At 51.7% G+C, this 19,228-nt stretch overlaps 2 long non-coding RNA genes across 2 annotated transcripts in view, besides 7 other annotated features; both read right to left on the bottom strand.

The window, feature by feature from the left end:
* Positions 1 to 8,462, bottom strand: part of LOC101927263 (uncharacterized) — a 43,664-nt gene extending 35,202 nt beyond the window's left edge. The window contains exons 1-3 of the long non-coding RNA XR_007064788.1: positions 8,405 to 8,462; positions 7,820 to 8,307; positions 5,303 to 6,036 (exon numbers count right to left, since the gene is read on the bottom strand). This is a non-coding gene — a long non-coding RNA (uncharacterized LOC101927263). The remainder of the gene's footprint in view (positions 1 to 5,302; positions 6,037 to 7,819; positions 8,308 to 8,404) is intronic.
* Positions 499 to 1,341: an enhancer, noted in NCBI's record as "H3K27ac-H3K4me1 hESC enhancer chr15:96901703-96902545 (GRCh37/hg19 assembly coordinates)". NCBI's record gives its function as "activates a minimal SCP1, AML or CMV promoter by ChIP-STARR-seq in naive H9 embryonic stem cells {active_cell/tissue: H9 hESC(naive)}" and the evidence as "EXISTENCE:reporter gene assay evidence [ECO:0000049][PMID:30033119]".
* Positions 4,664 to 5,563: an enhancer, noted in NCBI's record as "H3K27ac-H3K4me1 hESC enhancer chr15:96897481-96898380 (GRCh37/hg19 assembly coordinates)". NCBI's record gives its function as "activates a minimal SCP1, AML or CMV promoter by ChIP-STARR-seq in naive H9 embryonic stem cells {active_cell/tissue: H9 hESC(naive)}" and the evidence as "EXISTENCE:reporter gene assay evidence [ECO:0000049][PMID:30033119]".
* Positions 8,463 to 14,170: 5,708 nt separating the features above from the next.
* On the bottom strand, positions 14,171 to 16,918 carry SCDAL (stem cell derived angiogenic lncRNA). The gene is made up of 2 exons (NR_198964.1): positions 16,817 to 16,918; positions 14,171 to 15,250 (listed from the first exon to the last, which is right to left on the bottom strand). It is a non-coding gene; the product is annotated as a stem cell derived angiogenic lncRNA (long non-coding RNA).
* Positions 17,415 to 17,934: an enhancer, noted in NCBI's record as "H3K4me1 hESC enhancer chr15:96885110-96885629 (GRCh37/hg19 assembly coordinates)". NCBI's record gives its function as "activates a minimal SCP1, AML or CMV promoter by ChIP-STARR-seq in naive H9 embryonic stem cells {active_cell/tissue: H9 hESC(naive)}" and the evidence as "EXISTENCE:reporter gene assay evidence [ECO:0000049][PMID:30033119]".
* Positions 17,935 to 18,455: an enhancer, noted in NCBI's record as "H3K27ac-H3K4me1 hESC enhancer chr15:96884589-96885109 (GRCh37/hg19 assembly coordinates)". NCBI's record gives its function as "activates a minimal SCP1, AML or CMV promoter by ChIP-STARR-seq in naive H9 embryonic stem cells {active_cell/tissue: H9 hESC(naive)}" and the evidence as "EXISTENCE:reporter gene assay evidence [ECO:0000049][PMID:30033119]".
* Positions 18,456 to 18,975: an enhancer, noted in NCBI's record as "H3K27ac-H3K4me1 hESC enhancer chr15:96884069-96884588 (GRCh37/hg19 assembly coordinates)". NCBI's record gives its function as "activates a minimal SCP1, AML or CMV promoter by ChIP-STARR-seq in naive H9 embryonic stem cells {active_cell/tissue: H9 hESC(naive)}" and the evidence as "EXISTENCE:reporter gene assay evidence [ECO:0000049][PMID:30033119]".
* Positions 18,456 to 19,015: a biological region, named in NCBI's record as "Sharpr-MPRA regulatory region 11279".
* Positions 18,721 to 19,015: a silencer, noted in NCBI's record as "tiled region #11279; K562 Repressive non-DNase unmatched - State 18:Pol2". NCBI's record gives its function as "represses a minimal TATA promoter and a strong SV40 promoter by Sharpr-MPRA in K562 cells {active_cell/tissue: K562}" and the evidence as "EXISTENCE:reporter gene assay evidence [ECO:0000049][PMID:27701403]".

Raw genomic sequence — 19,228 nt, 5'->3', positions numbered from 1 at the left:
ATTTCTCCGAGGCGAGTGCAGGTCACAGGCCATTTCTGGAGCCACCCGGCGGGGCATTTGCCCGAACACCCGGCACAGTCTCCTCGCCAACTTCGGGCTGCTTTGGATAGTCAAGGGGGAGAGGGGTCGAGGAGTATTCCCTCTTTGCCATTTGACCCCAGAAATGAGGATGGAGAGCAACCGGAGCGAAGGAGCCGGGGAAGAAAGTTCAGCAGGACCTGTTGCTGGCGCTCAAGCAGCCTCGCCTCGGAGAGAATGTTGGACACCTTGATTTCTCCAGGGAGCACCAGTGCTCTCCCCACCTCGGGGAGTCTTGGGGGAAAGAGACTAGCAGACGCAGAGGGCCAGAGGCCCGGGGAACTCTTCCCCGGCTTAGGCTTGGAGTGCAGGCAGGGACAGAGTGCGGTGAAGTCACTGTGAAAAGGATGGCGTCCCTAAGCCCGGCTAAGACTGAAATTGCAATCGTAGGGAACTGAGATCTCCAAAAGAATGTGGAAGGTTTACTTTAAAACACCCAACCAGTTCATTTTTCTCAGAAGGCATTCTGGATGCCCTGACGGGGGCATGCCGGGATGGGACCCTTCTCCCCTCCCCACAAGAACTTCAGACACCTGCTCTATCCTGCCTTCAGCCCCCAGGCCCCTAGGACCGCAGGACCCCTCCTTCCTGGGTTTCCCTCACAGAAGAGAGTCATTTAATGTTATAGATAACTCAGCCCCAGCTCAACCCACCCACCCCTGGAGAAATTTAGTCTCCTCATCTTCCTCACCCTGCTGCCACCATTTCTAAAGGTTTAGTAGAGTCAGGGCGTCATGCAGGCCCTGGGCTTTCCCCAACCGGATGGAAGAAGGAAGTAGACGCCCTCAACCAGCTGGGGAGCTGGGCTGGGCGCCGATCTATATTTCGGGGTTCAGCCCCATGGGTGGCAGCCTCTCTGAATTCCTAACTGTGCTAAGGGTTGGGGTCACCTGCCCAGATACGTTGCATAGCCCAAACCCATGACAAAAGTCTGAGTGGAAATGGAGCCCTCCTTCCCCCACACACGAAAATGTCGCCTTTTGGCAGTGCGGCCCCCAATCCTTCATGTCACCTGAGGGTCACACTGCAGGCGCAGGGCTTCACTGGGTCCTGCCTCCTGGGAGGTGCTCGCAGACCAACTCCAGGGTCGACAGCCGGCAAAGCAAATGCTGGCGGTTAGGTGCTCAAATAACATTCTTCATTCCTCTTTTTCAAAGTTGATTTATAGCAATCGACAGGTTAAAGCCTCATCTGACTTCATTACTTTTAAAAGCTGTCTATTTCACAACTGTCACTTTTCATCACTTAGCTCAAATAAATACTTGAAGAAATGAATTGGAAGAGACTTTCAGATCATGTTTATAATTCTTGGTCGCCGCGTTAACATTCCTAATGACCTGACCCTCTGAGTTTCTGCAGACTTCTAAATTGGGCCGAAAATTCCTCCTTATATACTAGAAAACTTCAAGGAAGGTGAGGTGGCCGGAAATGCGACTCAAGGGAGAAGTGCAGCGGCTGCATGTGGAAGGCAGGGTGTTGTCGCAGCAAAGCATCCCAGCAGCTGCGAGGGCCCAGGCCCGAGACCCAGGGCCACAGAGAGGGGGACAGCTCACGGGTCAGGGGATTCACATGGAACCAGCTGCTGACAGGAGGGCCCCAGCCTAGCAGCCGCGCCGCCCGCCCGCGTTCCTCGGGTCCCGCCGACCAGGCTGCAAAACCACGAGAAAATTCATGCCAGAAGGAAACGCTGTTCATTGGGACTATTACTATTATTCTATCACTGTTTCAAAAATGATTTTAAAGGGCCCCTACGACCGCAGATGAGGAGTGGCAGAGTGAGAGCCATTTTCTCCCAGTCATCTTCGACTCAGAGCTTGTGAGACACCCAGAAAGAGCAGAAGCATGGAAACGAAATCGTACGCACTGAAGTCCGTTCAATAAATTGAAATAGTTTCTCCAATTTTGCTACCATTTGCCCAAGCCTTCTAGTATTACCAGCCGGTGGTAATACTTTCACTTTCTCTCTCTCTCTCCCTCTCTCTTTCAAGCTCTCTCTCTCTCTCTCTCTCTCACACACACACACACACACACACACACACACACAACCAGTTCTAAGAAATAGGAGGAAAAATACAGAAAAAAAAAAGCGAAAGGAGAGGTAAGAAAAAAAAACTACAGAAAATAAAAGGAAAAGGAAGGGAAGAAAAAGGAAATGAGAGAAAAGAAGAAAGCAAAGGAAAACCCAAAAACTATATATCTTTTCTTTTTTAGTTTGGGGGACAACGATAGAACACATATTTTCCTTATTTTTTTCTTTGAAAAAGAACAACAAGAACAACAAAAAACCCTAAGCTGCGTCTCTGAGCTTGTGGTGGATTGGGCGCTTGCTCGGTGTGCCTGGGCCGAGGCTGACTCCAGCGCGCCGCTCGCCGTGCCTGGGGACCTGCAGCCCCAGCCTCCGCCCCGCCCGGGAATTTCGAAGATTTCCCCCGAGCGGCGGCGCGCGGAGTGTGCTCCGGAACTCGCCATCACAGCGCTCCCCGCCGCCGCCAGCCTTCCCCAGTCGTGGCCTCAGGCCTTCGCCCACCCTGCGGACCGCTCCGCCTAGGTGGGTCTGAGCGCTCCCGATTTTCCGCTCAGAGGCTTTAGGAACCCCGAGTTAACATTGCTCGGTGGCCGCTGCCTCGCTGCGTGGACGCGGCGGCGGATGCGCTCGGTGGCGAAAACCCGGGCGCGCTGCCGTACCTTGGAGCGCCACCTCGCTGCAGAAACTGGAATGACGCCGCCAAGCCTCCCAGCCTGCGGCAGCCTAATTGTACGTCACCCGGACTTTTTCCGTAATCGAAACCCTCAGAGAAGCCGCAACGCACAGGTCTTCTGACGGGTTAAAAACCATTATCTGTGACCGACAGATCCCACAGTGGCTGCATTGGGATGAAGGGAAAATAACAGAAGAAGGAGAAAAATATATAGGCACAATTTCACCAAGTCTAAAGTAGTCACTCAAGCTGGGGAGCTGCTTTCCTAGAAAGGAGAAGATAAATGAGACGTGGTCTTTAGGAAGCCACTAGTTCGGGCCCCGTGTATTTCCGGCCATTCAGCTGCGGCCAGTGCAGATGTCTCCCATGAGGTGGTGCCTATAAAGTCATCCCTTCCCAATTATGATTTCCACCAAAATTCATTTATTCTGGTCAGTCCAGCATTAGAGGGGTTCTGCAGTGCCAGTCTCCAGCCTACTGGGACACTGTACCCACAGCTTTTGGCTTTGCTGACTAAATAACCACAAAATATAGCCCCCAACACGTACACCTGTCCGCCGGTGAAAGTAGCAACTGGCAAGAATTGCAAATTACACAGCCTCTCTTTCCAAGGTGCAACTGGGCATTTGACACTATTTTATCCAGTTGATAACTTAACAGGTTTGCCGCAATCTTATATCCACACGACCATAAAATATACAGAAAATTTAACCCACTTATATGGTGAGCCTTTGCTTCAATGTGTCTTCAAAGTGCACCATCCCAGAGATGGGTGTTATAAGTTAAAACAAATGTTACATGCCAAACATGGTTTTAAAAATACAGCATCTCTGTCATGGTCCAGTGAGGATTTGTGTGGTTTCTTTGTTTTGAAGGGAGGTACAGAACCTTTATTTAATGTAGTTTTTATTACAAAGTTCAAATCCTTTTTTTTAAAAGGAGCTCTGTGGATCCTACAAATAATGGGAGCTGAACTGGGGACTATAGGGTGGAGATAGAGTTTATCTGGTGTTGTATAAGCCCCTGTATTTCCCTGCCTGAGCAATCCCAACATAGAGATCGCTTCTTGAAACTCCGCAGTCCCCTGAGTTAGCGGGGTGAGCCCCCAAAGGGCAGGCAGGGGATAGCGTGAGTGCCCCTTCTCCCTGTAACCAGGGCTCCTCCTTGCTGATTAGGAGCTCTCAGATCTTGCTCAGAAATTACACGGCTGCGCCAGGAAAATAGCCAGGTTGGCTTTCTGGCTGGTTTGTCTCTTCTCCATCAGGCTAGGAAAGATTCCTGTGAGACCACACAGGAGAAAGGCCCCAATTTCCTAGCAGGACTTCAGTGAGCATCCCTAGTAACTGCCAGCTAAGGAGGGGTGGCCCGGGCCCTGGGGGTCTTGAGGCCTAGGCATGGGGGTGGGGGTGAGAGTTGGTGCTAACATGGGGAGAAGGCAGCTGATGAGAGATAATGGGAGCTCAGAGGGAATTCCCAAGAGGGTCCTGGGGCCCACTGAGGGCCAGCAGTGAGGAACTAGGACAAAAACCGAGGAGAGGAAGGCATAGGAAATGATAGGTGTGAACCTGCACGCCTACAGTTTGGAAAAGGAGTTCTAAACTGGAAAAGGTTTTGTGTGTCTCTCTCTTTCTGTCTCTCTCTCTCTTCCCCCCCTCCACCCCCTTCTTCTCTCCCTTCATTTCTCTCTTCTCCACCCCTTCCTCTTCTCACATTCAGGTTTTCTGGGGTTTTTTTCGCCCAATAATGCCTGGAGATGAAAAATGATTTTTGTTGCTATTACACTTCCTACCGCAAGATGCAGTGCAAGGCGGCTGAGTTTGTATTACAACTATGTCACAATGTTTCACTGATGCAAAACATGTAGCCAGAGGGTGTTGCTAATGACTCCTGGATTAGAGTGAGATTGAGACTGGGAGAAAAAGAAAAAGAGAGAACAAGAGACAGAGGAAGGGAGGAGAGAGAAGAATGTCATTAGAGAACGAGGAAAATCACTGTATAATCACCTCTAATAATCTAATCAGGATATTTTCAGATTTCAAGGTTCTCTCCATGCTTAAGAGTGTGAGCTAGAGAGAGACCATTATCCTTTTAAACACCACAAAGGTTTTTTTGCATGTTAATAACTATTAATTATGTTTACAGCCAGTTAAGTGAAGAACTCTCCTTTGGAAAGAAACTTTGGAAAACGCTTAATAGCAGATTAAAGCCTTTTCCTGGAGCCGAGGTCGCTTGGAGGGAGGTGGGGGCCGGGTAATCACCCAAGGGTGTGCGGAGCCCGAGGCGGCTAGCAGAGGCTCAACGCCCCCGCCAGTGGTCGTGCACACAAATGTGCAAACGCCTGTGACGGGCTGCGGGGACCCAGGGTGCCCCGTCGGACCCGTGGCGGAACTCCTAGGCGCAGCCAGCCGCACGGGCTCGGCTTCCGCTCGGTCTTGGCAAAAATGTCCCTCCGGGCTCCGAACTCCCCGGCGCCCTCCCCCGAGACCAGCTCTATTTAGGGAAGCCGGAGGTTTCGCGGTTCCTACCGTGGCCCAGGCCGGTCCCACCGCCCAGCAGTCCGCTTCTGCCCCCCGGGGCACAGCAAGGAGGGCGTTCCCTCGGGGCTGCGGCCCTTTGAACCCGGGGAGCCCTCGGCTCTCGCCAGGACTCGCGGAGCTCGCTCGGGGCCCGGCTGCGGAGCCGAGTGTGGGTGGCGGGTGGGGTTGAAGGCGAGTGGGGGAGGCAGGAGGGGATGGAGGGGCGGGGGCGGGAGCCGGGCGTTAAGCCTGGAAGCTTGGCTGTTTACCCAAACGATTTTCCTTTCAGACCCGAGACGCCAATGAGACAAGATCAAACTCCCCTTCTCGTAGTGCGTGTGTGGGGTGTGTGTGTGTGTGTGTGGGTGGGTGGGTGTGTGTCCTCTTCCAGGAGGGGTTTTGTGAATGGGGGCTCCAGGACATCGGCTGGGAGGGACCAGAGGCCAGCCCGGGCACAGCGCCTCCTCCCGGGGACTGGGAGAAGCCGGTCGGAGGGCGCGAGGTCTGAGCGCACCGGAGGGCGCGGCGCCCCAGACACAGTGGTCCGCTGGGAGAGAAGCGAACAACAGGAACACAGGCCACGGAGGGCCAGGGGCCGCGTCCCCAAAGGCCCAGCCAGGAGACACATGGTCGTGTGCAGGAGGGGGAGGGGGAGAATAATAGGAATCACATCCTTCTTCTAGTCCCTTAATTTCCGATCCCTCCAAAGCCACTGGTTTCTTCCCGACTCCCTCGCTCGAGATCTATTAGCTGCAAATTAGGCCAAGGTTTTGGCGATTACGGTGCAATTCAGACCGAGCGACACGCGCCGCCTGGCCTGCGCCTGGGTCTCTCTCTTCGCACTGCAAAATGGTTAGAAACGAAGAGAGGATGGGTAGCCTATATGATAAGGATGGGTAGCCTATATTGATAACACATTGGTCATTTTAAAAAGGGCCCCGGTCGAAGAATATCCATCAGCCTGGGGGATCTGGGGAAGAGGGAAGAGGAGACGAGCAGGCTGAAGTCTGAGCTACGGCACAGCAGGTCACAATAGTCCTGGGCACTACTCCTGCAGCCGCTCTGGGGACGAACCGGGACTAAAATCTCGTTTAAACAACAACAACAGTATTAATATCATTGATAGTAAAAAGAATCAGAAGGCAGCATATTTATTTATTAAGATCATAAATGATTAAAATCTGGTTACATGAACATTGTATGTATAGTTAATGGCACTACCTCCCACAACTCACTGCTCACCGAAGGCCGATTAAAGGCTTAACTAAAGAATTCTTTCTGGAAGAAAAAGGTGTCATTGTGGTGCTCTGACTCAGCCTCTATTGCTTCTTCTGCGTCAGCCTGCCCCTAGGTGCCCCCCACTCTTCCCACACATGCATCCCTTACTGAATGATTCTCTCTTTTTTAACTGACCAACCACCATCTCCCTGTCCAGAATATTCTTATTTAACCAGAATTCCCCTCCTCTAGTGCTGACATGGATGGGGCATATTAGGGACCTGCTAACCCTTCTTCAGGCCTCTGTGTCTCCTGCTCAGGTGTCCCAGGCCTGGAAAACACCCCGAGGGGGGGACTCTAGGGGCCTCTGGCTTTCTCCCGCATGTCAAGGGTGGAGGGCTGCAGCTCCAGGGCTCAGAGGGAGCGAGGCAGCTGATGGGCCTCTGGGTATGAGTGGCGGTGCTTAAGGACCTAGCTAGGCATGTTGTTGGCCTGGAATAAATGTGTGTGAGAGGGGAGATGCTCACGGAGGAAACCGGATGTGCCTAAAAATGATTGACACCGCCAATCTAACACTTATTAAGCGCTTACTATGTGCCAGTCACTGTGTCCACATCTCTGGGGACTCCAAGCCTGAGGACAAACCACTGTGGCCAAGGGTAGGCCTCTGAACCGGGTGGCTGGGCCAGGGCAGGCAGACAGCCAGATAGGTGTCCTTGTGTGGCTGAGGTCAAGGTTTCCGCTTCCCCTTCCGTCCCAGGGTGGAATCCAGGAGCCAGACCAAGGCCTCCTCCCCACCTGCCCGCGGTCGTCCCCTGACAACCAGTCCGTCCAGTGTTGCCACGAGCTGTGCGGACTTCCAGGCCAGAGGAGAGGTCAACAGGTTCTAGCCACGTTCGCTCTTCTTCGCGCTGAAGTCCTTAAACGAACGTAGACTGGGCCGAGAGGGCCGCGGAGGCCAGGCTCGGGCAGATGGGGAGCGCTTAGTGCGCCAAGGCCAAGCCCACAGCCAGGCCAGGAGCCCTGCGTCCTGTGCCTCCTCCCGCTCGGGTCGCGGCAACTCTGCACCAGGCGAGGTGCGCCTCCCTCGCGGTGCCAGAGGGCGCTTGACTGACTCCCGGGCTTCAGCAGCCGAGAAGGCGGCCCCCGGCTTTCGCGGCCTGGTGCGCACCCAGGGCAGGGGCCAGGCGCGGCACTCAGGCCGCCCTCCACGCCCCACCCCCCCGGGGTGTTCTAGCCTCCAGCTCCAGGCCGCCAGAACGGGAGAGTTTTGCTCCATTCTCTGACTCTTCCTCCCATCCCCCTAACGCTGGAGGCTGAGACTCGCTGGTGACCCAGTGCCGTGCCCCGTGAGAGTGGAAAAAAGCAGGCGCTGCTCTCTGTCTGGAGACAAAAGGCCTCTGCGTTCAGGCTCCCTCGGGCCTGGCCACTAGGTCTTTGGCACGGGCTTCCACCTATGCAGAGGAAGCAGGAGCAGGTGAAAGCGGCGATGCAGCGAGGGCTCAGCCAGCGAGTCTTAATTGATCCCAGAAACTGAACACCTCCGAATCCACGGGCATAGCGACCGGGCATCTGCTGCAGAAATACGCAGTCTACCCCCAGCACCCCTCTGCAGCCCTCATCCAGCCATCTTCCTATAAAGGGGCCCCTGGTTGCCAGTTTTTTCCTTCTAGTCTGATTGCAAATCACCTGGCAGCTAGAAACCCTCGCCCCCTGATATCGACCTGCAGAGGTTACTCCTTTCCCTAAAAACGACTCTGGCTTGCTTTCTTCTACTAGCCCCACGGGAGAATTCACTGGTTTTTACATTAAAAAACAGAAACAAAAAAACTTTAAACTCTCTCTGGGTGTCAGATGTGGTTGGAACTCTCCGAGTCTCCTGGTTCACCACACTCTCTGCTGCTCCTGAAAAGCGAGTCCTCTGAAGTAGTCTTTTCCTGCAGTCTATCATTTCGGTATTACAAATAACTACCGTGGAGCGAGAAATACCCCCGGCTTGAGAATATTGATAGATGATAGTGGCGATATTCACAATCGATCCCCTAATAGGCAGACGTCATAAATCATGTTCAACGCCCTGACAGCAGAGTACTTCACTTAATAATATAATTAAGATTAAAACTCGAGAGGTATTGGAGGCAGCGGGTATTGATAGCTTCAAAAATTACATTCTGGATATGACGATGGCACGGAAAAGGACCTTGGGAAACTATAACCCCACTCCCCAAAAGTGGAGTCTTCTGGCTGCCCCTGTCTTGTGCTGAGCCCCTCCCACCCTCCTGTCCCTGCACACACTTTTTTCCCCACCAGTAACCCAAATCTCCCATAGGTCTGAGCAGAGAGTAGGCCCACTCTTTCTCAGAAATGCTATCCAGTAGGATAAGAATTAATAGGGTTCGAATGAGTTTCTTGGATTTAGGAACTGTTTAAAAATTCATTCCTTCAGCCTTGAATATTCAGTTTAAAAAAAAATGTTCAGGAGAGCAAGGAAATGATGCCGTTTTGTTCTTTCAATACAAATAGGTTCCTGAACAAAGTTTTCAAAATTACATATAAATAACTGAATATATGGAGATATGCCAGTCCACTTCATCCCCGAAACTTAACTGCCTGTACACCTTCCCAGAACCTCGGGCCTCAGGACAAAACCCCAAACTTCACATTAAGAGTAAAAGCAGAGTGGTCAGATCCCCTGCAGCAGTGATAGTCTGCTCTTTGCTTCATGAGTAGAACTGATGATAAGTCCGGCTGAAATTATTTCAGAGTGGAATATTAATCAAATCAATCAGAGCTGACAAATGAGAAATACTTGAAAGTCAGTGGTAATTTACAACTTTGTTATTGGTTAAAAATCTTTTGCCTTGTAACAGTAATTAATAATGCTTAGAAAAGAACGATTTGGAAATCCCCTTCTCATTCTTTTTATTTTTCTCTGGCTCTTAAAGAAGGAAAGAGAGAAAGGAAGCAAATGAGTGATCAGTAGAAACAGGAAAAACACTGAGTCGTTTGTGGGGAGAACAAAACTGGAAAATATAAAAGAAAGGGAAAAAAGATTAACCCCATGGGAGGCCATCAGGAAATAAAGAAAATACAGGAGGAGGGGTAGTAAATCAGAAAATGAATTCTGTAACCATACCCCATGAGCAGGCTGGCTAAAGGTTGAATTTCAAATGGCCCAGAAACCCCATCAAAATGAACAGTGCTGCTAAAATATCTTGAAAGTAGCTCAGCTCTGAATCCAGGCAGAGCTCAGGGCATTGTCTGTTTTGTTGTTGTTAACAATGTATTTCTTTATGGCCCAGGAGCAGCCGTGTGCAGGCTTTCCCAAATTCAATCCCTGGAGACCAGACTGGCTTTCATGTTTCTGGTGTTAACTCTTCTTTTGGTCATAGCCAATCCCCCCACCCACCCGTCTTACATTGATTATTAGATTGTCTCAGCCCCACCTAAAAAACACACCCAAATAATGACTTGTTGAAGAACTATAAATCTTTTCGGCCTCTGAGTTTGGAAAACCATTTCAGTGAAAAGGCTTTGCTGTGAAATGCTAAAGAAATTCCTAACCTTCTGCTCACTGAGGAAGAGCTGCTACTTTTATTTGCTGAGCTTTAATTTGTTGGATGGGGAAATTTTTCAGGTTGGTAAAAAAGGATGGAGGGGAAAAAACAACTTTTGCAAACTTTATCTGGTCTGTATTATAAGCCCCAGTTTTGTCTCACTGAACCCAAGCTGGGTCTACAAAAAGTAGCTAGAGATTGAGATTTATTGGTCTCTAAATGAAAAGATTCATTTGATATAAGAGGTTAACTCAAAGTTCCTACACCGTGACTAGCTTCAGCAAATGCCTTTGTTGGGTCAGCACAAAAGCAGTTCAAAGAAATCTTAAAAACACACCGAGATATAGACACACAAACACATTGTCCCACTTAAGCCACAAATGCAATTCTCTTTTCTTTGTCATTTTTTTTCTGTCATTACAAACCTCCAGCTTCTTCCTAAATGGCTGGGATGGTCTCCCCCAACCCATCAAACTTTGCCATTTTGTATCTTTTGCTTTTGCTAGAACTCAATGAAAGAATGAGGGGGTATGAGAAAGTAAAAGGGGGGAAGTGAACTAATTTGGATAAAGCAGAACACTTTGTAAATGAGGTGCATTGAGGCTAGAGAGATACAGATGGAGGAGAGGGGCTCTAGGATTAAAAATAGGCATACTGGTTGGAAACTGATGAAATGGGTTTTCAGCGATCAGTCTATGGATTCAATAGGAACCTGGCAGAATGTAAGGTTGTGATGAGGAGACCACGAGTGAGAGTGAATTCGTCAGAAAGAGTGAGAAGGGAGAAAATAGCAGCAAGGACCTGAGATCCCTTGCAAGGAGCAGACTATGGAGATGCTAATGAGGGAAAATTAACCTTCGGGTTGGGTCTGTGACATGGGCCTTCCACTGAATGTCTGATCCAGGGGCTGCCAGCAGCTTCCCTCTGCACCAGCGAAATGAGATAATCGCTCTGAAACCTCCCAACCTTGGTGCAAGCAAGCTCTGAGACTGTTGTGGGGAGCAGAATGTAACTAACAGCTCCTTCCAAAGAGACAAACAAATAGCAACTAGGACCACAACCAGGCGCCAGAGCAAACCTGCAGTTGTGGGTACATTTGTTCAACTCCAGAGCCCCTCTAGGCTGGCACATTGAAGGAAGGGAGGAGCAGGTATGGAAAACGAAAAAATATCTTCATCTCTGTTTGTTCCAGTCTGTCGCCAAAGGCCCTGGATAACCGGGCCTCAGTGAGGCAACACAAGGGATAAATGGATTTTATCTCCAGGAGCGTGGCCACTGGGCCAGGGGATTATTGCTTAGCCAGAGAAAATGTAGTGGGGAGGGGAATAAAGAAAAGAGAGAAGTTGAGGAGGACAGACACAAAAACAAACAAACAAAAAAAATTCAAAGGGAAATTCTGAAAGTGGTTTCCTGTCACATACACTGAGACATTAAAACACACACACACACACACACACACACACACGGATTTTATTAAACAAACAAGCCAACAACCAAACGCACATCAAAACTACATTTGCTCCTGCTGTCATAGGAAAAGAGGGTTTGGAATGATTGTAGGGTTCTGGTAGGAACCCTTCTGGCCTTTACTACTATCAGTACCTCCCCATCCCCTCACCCCCCGCCCCAGCATTTTCATAAACGCTCTGAAGTCCCCGCTGGAGAAGGGGCCGCACTAGAGGCTGCAAGCAAGGGGAGGACTCCCTGTTGGAGGCGAAGGGGTCATGTTTCCAAGTAGAGACATCAGCAAACCACAATCTTAGTGACAGTGACAGCGCAAAATTATGTTTAATGTTGCAAGGGGGAAAGGGGAAATATAAAATTAGCGCAAAGAAAATGTTTCCCAGACCTTCCTCACAATTAGGGCATACGGATGGGCACAACGGCGGGGTCGACAGTGGGGATGGTGGGGCCTAGCCGGGCGACCGTGTTGGGTGGAGGCAAAGGCCGGAGTCCTCACTCCCCAGGAGGAAAAGGAAAGCTTCTGGAGAGAGATTAATGACACTCCGCCCAATCACTTCACTGGGTTCGGAACCTTTTTTGCAGAAGAGGGGATGTTCTAGATTTCCCATCCTGGCGGAGATGACAGTTCAACGACCGGCCTACTCAGTCCCAAAGCCACAGGGCGTTTTAATTAGTGATGAGGCTGGTGGAGGGGCTGGCGGAGCCTGGAAGGCGGAGAAGGAAATGCGGAGGGGGAGACGCACAGCCCCAGACCCCTCCCCCTCCTCGCCGGAGCCTCGGGAGCTGTAGGCAGAGGATGCTGAAGCGAAGTAAGAATTACTTAATAAATTAGCTGCCCCTCTTTAGAACTTGCTGTCAGCCCCGCCTCGGCAGCCGCACGTAGGCGAGCGAGACCCCACTGCCTTCTCACTACGCCCCTGGATCTCCATAGGCGCACCCCCACCCCCAACCAGGGTCTTGGACAGGCAGACAGCCGACAGCCCAAGGGATTGGCCCAGAGAGGGCCAGGGAGGTGGGAACGGTGGCATTTTCAAGGAGGAAGCAGTTTCTGTTCAGTGCGGGAGATTATTTCCTCAGCTGCTTATTTAAAGAGACAGAGATGAGAGAGAGAGAAAGAGAGGTTGATTCCCTTCTTGTTGTGGTTATAAAAAATTTAATTTTGCCTTTGTCTAGAAAGCACTGTATTATTGTGATTATTAAACAACATCGTTTCCCTTCTCACTGCCAGGCAAGGGAAGGGGGAAGAAAGAGAGAGGATTAAGGAACATTTATTTAAAAAATAATACATATTACAAATAAGTGTATTTTTAAAAACTAAACCAGGCAGATAAAGGCAGATGAGAAACTGCAATGAGAGAAAGGGGCGGGGGGAGAAAATCGTTTGATTATTTAAAGGCTAATCTAGGCAGAAGAATCAGAAAAAAGAAACTTGGGAAAATAAGGCAGCTGCCATTTCCTACGTGTTAGCTACATGACTTGAAAAAAAATAGGAAAAGAAGCTATTCTTAGGTATAGCCAGGGTTGTAGTTTTATACTTTGATTTTAGCAACAAGTATGAAAAGATCTAAACTAATTGATTGCTGAGTTCCTTGGCCCTTTTCCAAAGAGCAATATAGATTTAATTGTATGTTGCTTAAAACTCCATTTCTCGAACAGTGTGAAGCATGTAATAAAAGTCATAAACCGTATCGGAGATTTTTTTTCCCCCACAAGCATAAATACCCAACTGACACTTGGAAATCTTAGCTAATACTCCTTATGGGTTAAAACAAAACAACAAAAAACAACAACAAAAAAGGCATCTGTGAGGGGGAGCCACATAATAAAATCCAAACTGTTAATCCATTTTAACTCATTCAAAAGAACCTGCAGTTGCGGATGGGTGTTTTGCAGAGGCGGGGCTGGGGTGAAGATACCCCACATCAGACACCTGATCTGCTCAAATTCGGTCCATCTAAACCACTCTCCCCTAAAGGAAAGAAGTCTGGCCTACAAAAAGACACCAGAAATATCTCCACCAGAGAAAATGGATCTGAAAGTTGCAGCCGAACTGCCTGGCCAGAACTCTCTGGCCAAGAGACAGGGAAGCCACTCCGCGGCTTTCGCTCTCCGCTGCCCCTAGCCTGGCATCCCCCAAGGAAAGAGACCGGCCTGGAGAGGCCGTGGGAGCGCTCCAAAGCGGCGCGGCAAAATCCACCCCTCTCCCCCTCCTAGGCAGCTCCCCCTTTCCCATTGTCCTCCGTTATCCCTGACCCCCAGTTGCTGTTGGGGTCCAAAACCACCCGCGGCTCCCCCTCGGCCAGCTGTATGCTGCAGAAGCGAAGAGTCCCGGCCACGCCTGCGATTTGGTCGGAGATCTGCCGCTGCAGCCAAGTTCGCGGCCGCCATCAAGCTGGCGGCTGCGCGCGTCTCGGGCCGTGCCCTGGCGTGGCCACGCGGGCCGGCTGCAGGCGGAGATCTGTAAAAATCCACGTGAGCCGCCCCCTCCTCCTGCTGCCCGCGGCCCCTGACACTGCAGCATTGAAGCCTGCCCGGAGGTCCCCGAGGTCTCCGAGTGTGACAGTACTCAGCATAGCGGGTAGATGGCACAATTTTCTAACATTTAGAGAGAGGAACCCACGCTGGGAGCAATAAGTCCATTTAAAAGCCCTTTATTTAAAAGGAACAAAGATAACTGACAAGCGAAGTACAGAGACATCTCAATGAAATTTCCAAAGAAGAAAGAGAAATCAGAGGCTAAAGCAAATGCGAACTGGGCTTGATGGAACAGGCCAGCACTTTCCTCCCCCTCAAAAGGAGAGCAGATAAAAGACAAAAAGAAAGAGGTGGTGGTCATTGGGTCTGTGCGGTAAGGATCACAGACCAAACCAAATTCTAAAAGTCCACAGCCACTAAACTTTAAAATGGCCGGGTGGCCTCGGTGGGGGAAGGTGAAGGAGAAGCTAGATCAGTTTGGGGGAAAGAGATATGGAAGTTTTGCCCCTGCCTTGGAGGCTCTTCCCCAACCTTTGATAACAGGTATCTCTGCTTTGGCTTGGGGTCTAGGGAGCCCCAGGAGGATGGGCAGGCAAGGCATTCGTTCTGGGCACATCTGAGCCCTTCCAAGGGGCTGGGCACCACAGGCTTCTGTCCTACAGCCACGTTTCCTACAATGGGGCCCAGGGCTGGGCCGAGTCAGCCACGATCCCAGACACTAAGATTTGGTCAAAAGCAGGGCACTTAAGCTCACACTCAGAGACTTGGGTACAATTGTGCCCCTTCCAAACTAAGAAGGGCACGATGGCACCCACTGATGTCTCCTGGCAACGCCAAGACAGCCCACACTTCATCTTGTGCTCTGGCACCGCCACCACCCTCTCCCTCCCCACCAAACCTACACGCCAGATCGATCCCCCTTGCCAGGAGAGCCTCAAGCTGAGAGGAGGAAACAGAGGAGGGGGCGAGAGGCCAAGGGATCCGTGAGGCCACCTCTCTGGTCATCCGGGCCGGCCTCTGGCCCCCAGCGACCCTGGCCAAGCAGGACCAGCGGTGGGAAGGGGCACGGCAGCTATCGTCCGCAGGGGGTCAAATGATTGCATTTGGGTGGGTGCTCGCCGACATATTTGCTGAGTAAACCTCCCTCGCTGGGCTGAAGGCGAATCCCCGTTGATAAATCCATCATTACCGTTCGGATTCAGGGAGGCAGCCGCGCCACTAAATTCATCTTACATTCGTAGCGCTTTAATAGACATTTATGAAATGCTTTTAGAGAGAGGCATGGGGTGCGTGATTACATCCTAGTTATAGACAGAACATAAAGACCCACGTTAACACCCATTTGCAGGAAGGAAGGAAAAGGTGGGGAGGGGGTGGTAAGGCAGAGAGATGAAGTGAGGAGAGGCAAGGAGAGATGGGGCGGGCAGGGGCACGGTGTCTAGGCGTTATTAACGAGGGCTGCCTGGCGGGAGCCTCGGAAAGTGACAGGCTGCGGAGAGAAGTACTCGCTCCCCTCGCAGTTCCTGGGGCTTCCCTTCCCTTGCCCCCCACCCACAATCCCCCCGTGGTGGGCTCGTATTCTCTCTGCCAGGGAACAAGGGACGCCGCACTGCCTCCGCCGACCCTTCTGTCCCTCCAACCCCCACTGCTTCTTCACTTTATTCCAGGCCTCTCCAACTTCGACCCTTTGGAGTGGCCAAACCAGAAAGAGAAGGGAGGGAGTCCCCGCATGCCGAGGACCCCAAGAACTCCTTTAAAGCATCCTCTTCACCCCACCTCACCCCCAACCCAGAGAGCAACAGAGCTGGGCCAGGTTCCTGCAGCAGAAAGCAGACGCCCAGGCCACCGGGCGGAGTACATCTGCTTGCTCAGAGGGTTCCTTGGCCTGGCAGTCTTTGCGGAAGGACCCCCTGCTCTGCGCCAGGAGGAAGCCATGCCACTTTCGCGCCTTCCATCATCTCGTGCCTGGGAACTTGCCCTGGACTTGCCCCGCGCCCCCCGACCTCATCCTCAGGGAGCTGCTCCTGTAGGGATGCCTGGGCCTCCAAAGGGCCTAACGCCTTCCTGAGGGCCCCATTAGCTTCGCCTAGAAGCCCAGTCCCCGAGCTTTGCCGGCTCTGCGCGCGCTCTCACCGCGCCCTCGCTCCCCCGGGACGCAGCCACCGACCCGGGCCGGGACAGCAGCCGGCAGGACTCCGGGCCCTCCCTGGCTCTTGGTAAAGAACACTTCCGCTATCTCAAAGTTGCCATAAGAAAATAAATACAAGTGACATTGTACTGGGCCAAAGCTCATTAGTTCGTTGTCCAGGCCTAATAAAGGAACAGAAGCGCAAATTATAGAGTTCAGCTTCAACACACGCTCTGTCACCCGAGATCAGCGCACCGCGAGCCTGATTCCAATTGCTCCGAACTTGCAGCGCAGTTCGCCCCCCACCCCCTCCTCTCAAGCAGGAGGTTGGGTGGAAAAATATAGTTCCAAAGGGGGTAATGATCAAGCTTTTCCTCTCGGAAGCCTGCGCCACCTCATTTCCCATCAGTAATCCCAATAAAATTAACGTCGTGGCTGCAATTGAAAAGAGGAGGGCCCGCAACACTCCTGAAATAACACACTCTCCCCAGCAAAAGGTAAAAAGCAAAACGGCCCTTTGTTCAGCTAATTAACGAAGGCCCAACTCCGAAAGCAGATGTGTTTGCTTAGCTAATCACAAGCATGTTTCTTTCAAGGAACGTCATTTCGAGGGGGCCGCTCCGGGGGAGATGGGATAGAGGGACACCACCCCCCAGGCCCATTCTGCCTCGGGTCTCTCACCCCGGTCTAAGATCCAGAGGCTGAATCCAGGCAGCCCGTCTTTCACACCTTTCTTCCCCTCAGCCCTACCCCAGAGGCCCCATAGGCAGAGACTTCAGCGCTAGCCCCAAGGCCAAACCTGCAAGACACGAGGGGGAGAAAAATAAAAGTTTTAATGACACAGATGCCATATTAAATGAGGCAGTTTTACAATTCACTTTGAATAGGACGCTAACTTATTACAAGTGTGTTATCAGAAGGACGATAAGATTTACAACTCCAAGAGTCAGCTTTGCGCCTTAATGACAATGGATGTTAAGAGGAGGAAATCTGTTCTCTATTAGAGGAGATGAGAATCCCTTCCCGGGTTTGGGGGCATTTACAGAGGCCTCCAGGACAGATACCAAGCCCTTTGTGTCTCTGTATGAAAGATTCTCTCTTTCCCCTTTGGCTATGAAATAGGGTCTCCTTGTTGGGTTAGCACCTTGCTCAGCTTTTTACCGTGTGCTTGGGATAGAAAAAACAGAAGGAAAACGAGATAGAATTGGGGATGGAGATAGAGGTGGGGTGGGGAGCGGTTCTTAGCCCTCTGGTTCCTCCAGTAGTACTACTTCCCGGTCTTTCTTTACCATACAAAAAATAGCTTTCCCCTAAACCAACACAGTAAGCAAACTTTAAAAAACTGAGGTCCTATTACAAACCAACGCCCAGCACTAACTGCTTTAAAATTACTGCATAATTAGATTTAGTTGAATTTCACCATTAATTAGGCAGCCGCACTGCAGGGAGCCTTTGAAATCTGAGAAAATGGGAAAAATCATCTGAAGCACGTTTTTTAAGCCCAACTTCAATAAATCTTGACGAGGCCTGGAATTCAGAGAGTATCCCAGGCGGCTGAGGGAGAGGGTTGTCCAGGCCGGGGCTGGGGATGGAGCTGGACGTGGCGGGGCGATATCCCATCCGCCCGAGAAGGGAGCCTGGGCCCGGATCCACTATCTCTGCAGAGGCCCTCAGAAGACCCTCTCTAGGAGGCCAGGTCTGTCCCACGGCCGCCCTTGCCCACTCTCAAACCTATTAGAGAAAGAGGGTCCTCCGCTGCAGTCGCTCTCCTGCCAGGGGCACAGTCCACGCGGGCTCACACATTTCTAGGGTCTGCGACCACCCGCCTGGAACCGGCCCTCAGCCCCTGCTAGACCCTCCCACCCCCCAATCAACCCTCCGCCCGGAAAGCCTCCTTTCCCACAACTTGGGCGTGCAAAAGCAGCAAGTTCTGCCCAAGTCCAGCGGGGTTCGCATTCCGCCCTCCCCACCGCGCCCCAGCTCCGCTCGGGCCCGCGCAAACCCCGGCGCAGCCCCTGCATTAATGAGCGCGAGAACTGACCGAGGTCTGTAAAGACCGTCCTCTTCCCATCCCCCTATACCATTCAAACATTTAAGATCATTTGCGGATACAGACTTTTTATTTTTCTAATTTGGTTCTTGGAAGGAGAGGGGACAGGAAATCAACTCTCCTGAATATGGGAGGGGGAGGGGAGAAGGTACAGCGTTACCAATATTTTCCTTACGAATTCTGTTGCTTTAATTAAAGAACCGAGGACCGGACTCACTTGCCAGCAAGAGTTTAAAAAAGGGTTTTCTGCCTGCAGACGGAATGGCCTTTAGCGCCCCCCGCCCTCCTTTTTTTCTTTTTGGTAACCAATGTGTTTTCTATTACCCGGCCCTGCCGAGCCTGGCAGCCCGGCGCTCGCGGTGCAGTGGGAGACGCCATGTTGGCTCAGCTCATAGGACCAAGTCAAAAGCGAGATTCGAGGCAGAGTTTCACACGCTCGAGCTCCCCCTGACCGCCCCCCGCCCCCGCCCTCGCCCCCCCCGCCTGTCGCCGCTTAATGCACATCCCAGGAGTGCAGCTCCGCGCGCCCGGCACCCCGGACTTTCCCGGGGCGCTGGCGGAATTCTGCCGCACGTAAGTGGGGGCGGGGGCTGGGGGGCAGGCACTTTCCCGTAGCAGCTGCCAACTCCAGGCCCCCGTCCCTGCAGCCGGCTAGAGGCTAAGCCTCGGACGTCGCCCGCTAACTTTGAGCCCCAGCTCCTCGCGGCCCAGGGAGAGCTAATGGTGAAAGGCCGAGGCAGGGCGACCGCGAGCCGAGCGAGCAGGCTGGAATCCCCCCCGGGCTCAATCTTCCCCCAGGTTTGTTTGAAAGTGGCGAGAAGCAGCGAGCGCCCCTCTCTCTCCTTGCACTATTGTTGCATTTCGCGTCTAACTGGGTTCTCTCACACCCCCGAGCGCCACGAGGAGGAGGGGGAGCGGGGTTGGGAAAAGAAATAAAGCGAGCTCAGATCAGATGAAAAAAAAAAAAAAAAAAAAACCCAGCAAGGAAAAAGAGACACTTAAAGGGAAAGAGTCGCCATGTTTAGCAGCTTTTTTAAAGATCT

Source organism: Homo sapiens, chromosome 15 (genome assembly GCF_000001405.40).
Source record: "Homo sapiens chromosome 15, GRCh38.p14 Primary Assembly".
Lineage (NCBI taxonomy): Eukaryota > Metazoa > Chordata > Mammalia > Primates > Hominidae > Homo > Homo sapiens.
This window is presented reverse-complemented; position numbering and strand designations above follow the sequence as displayed.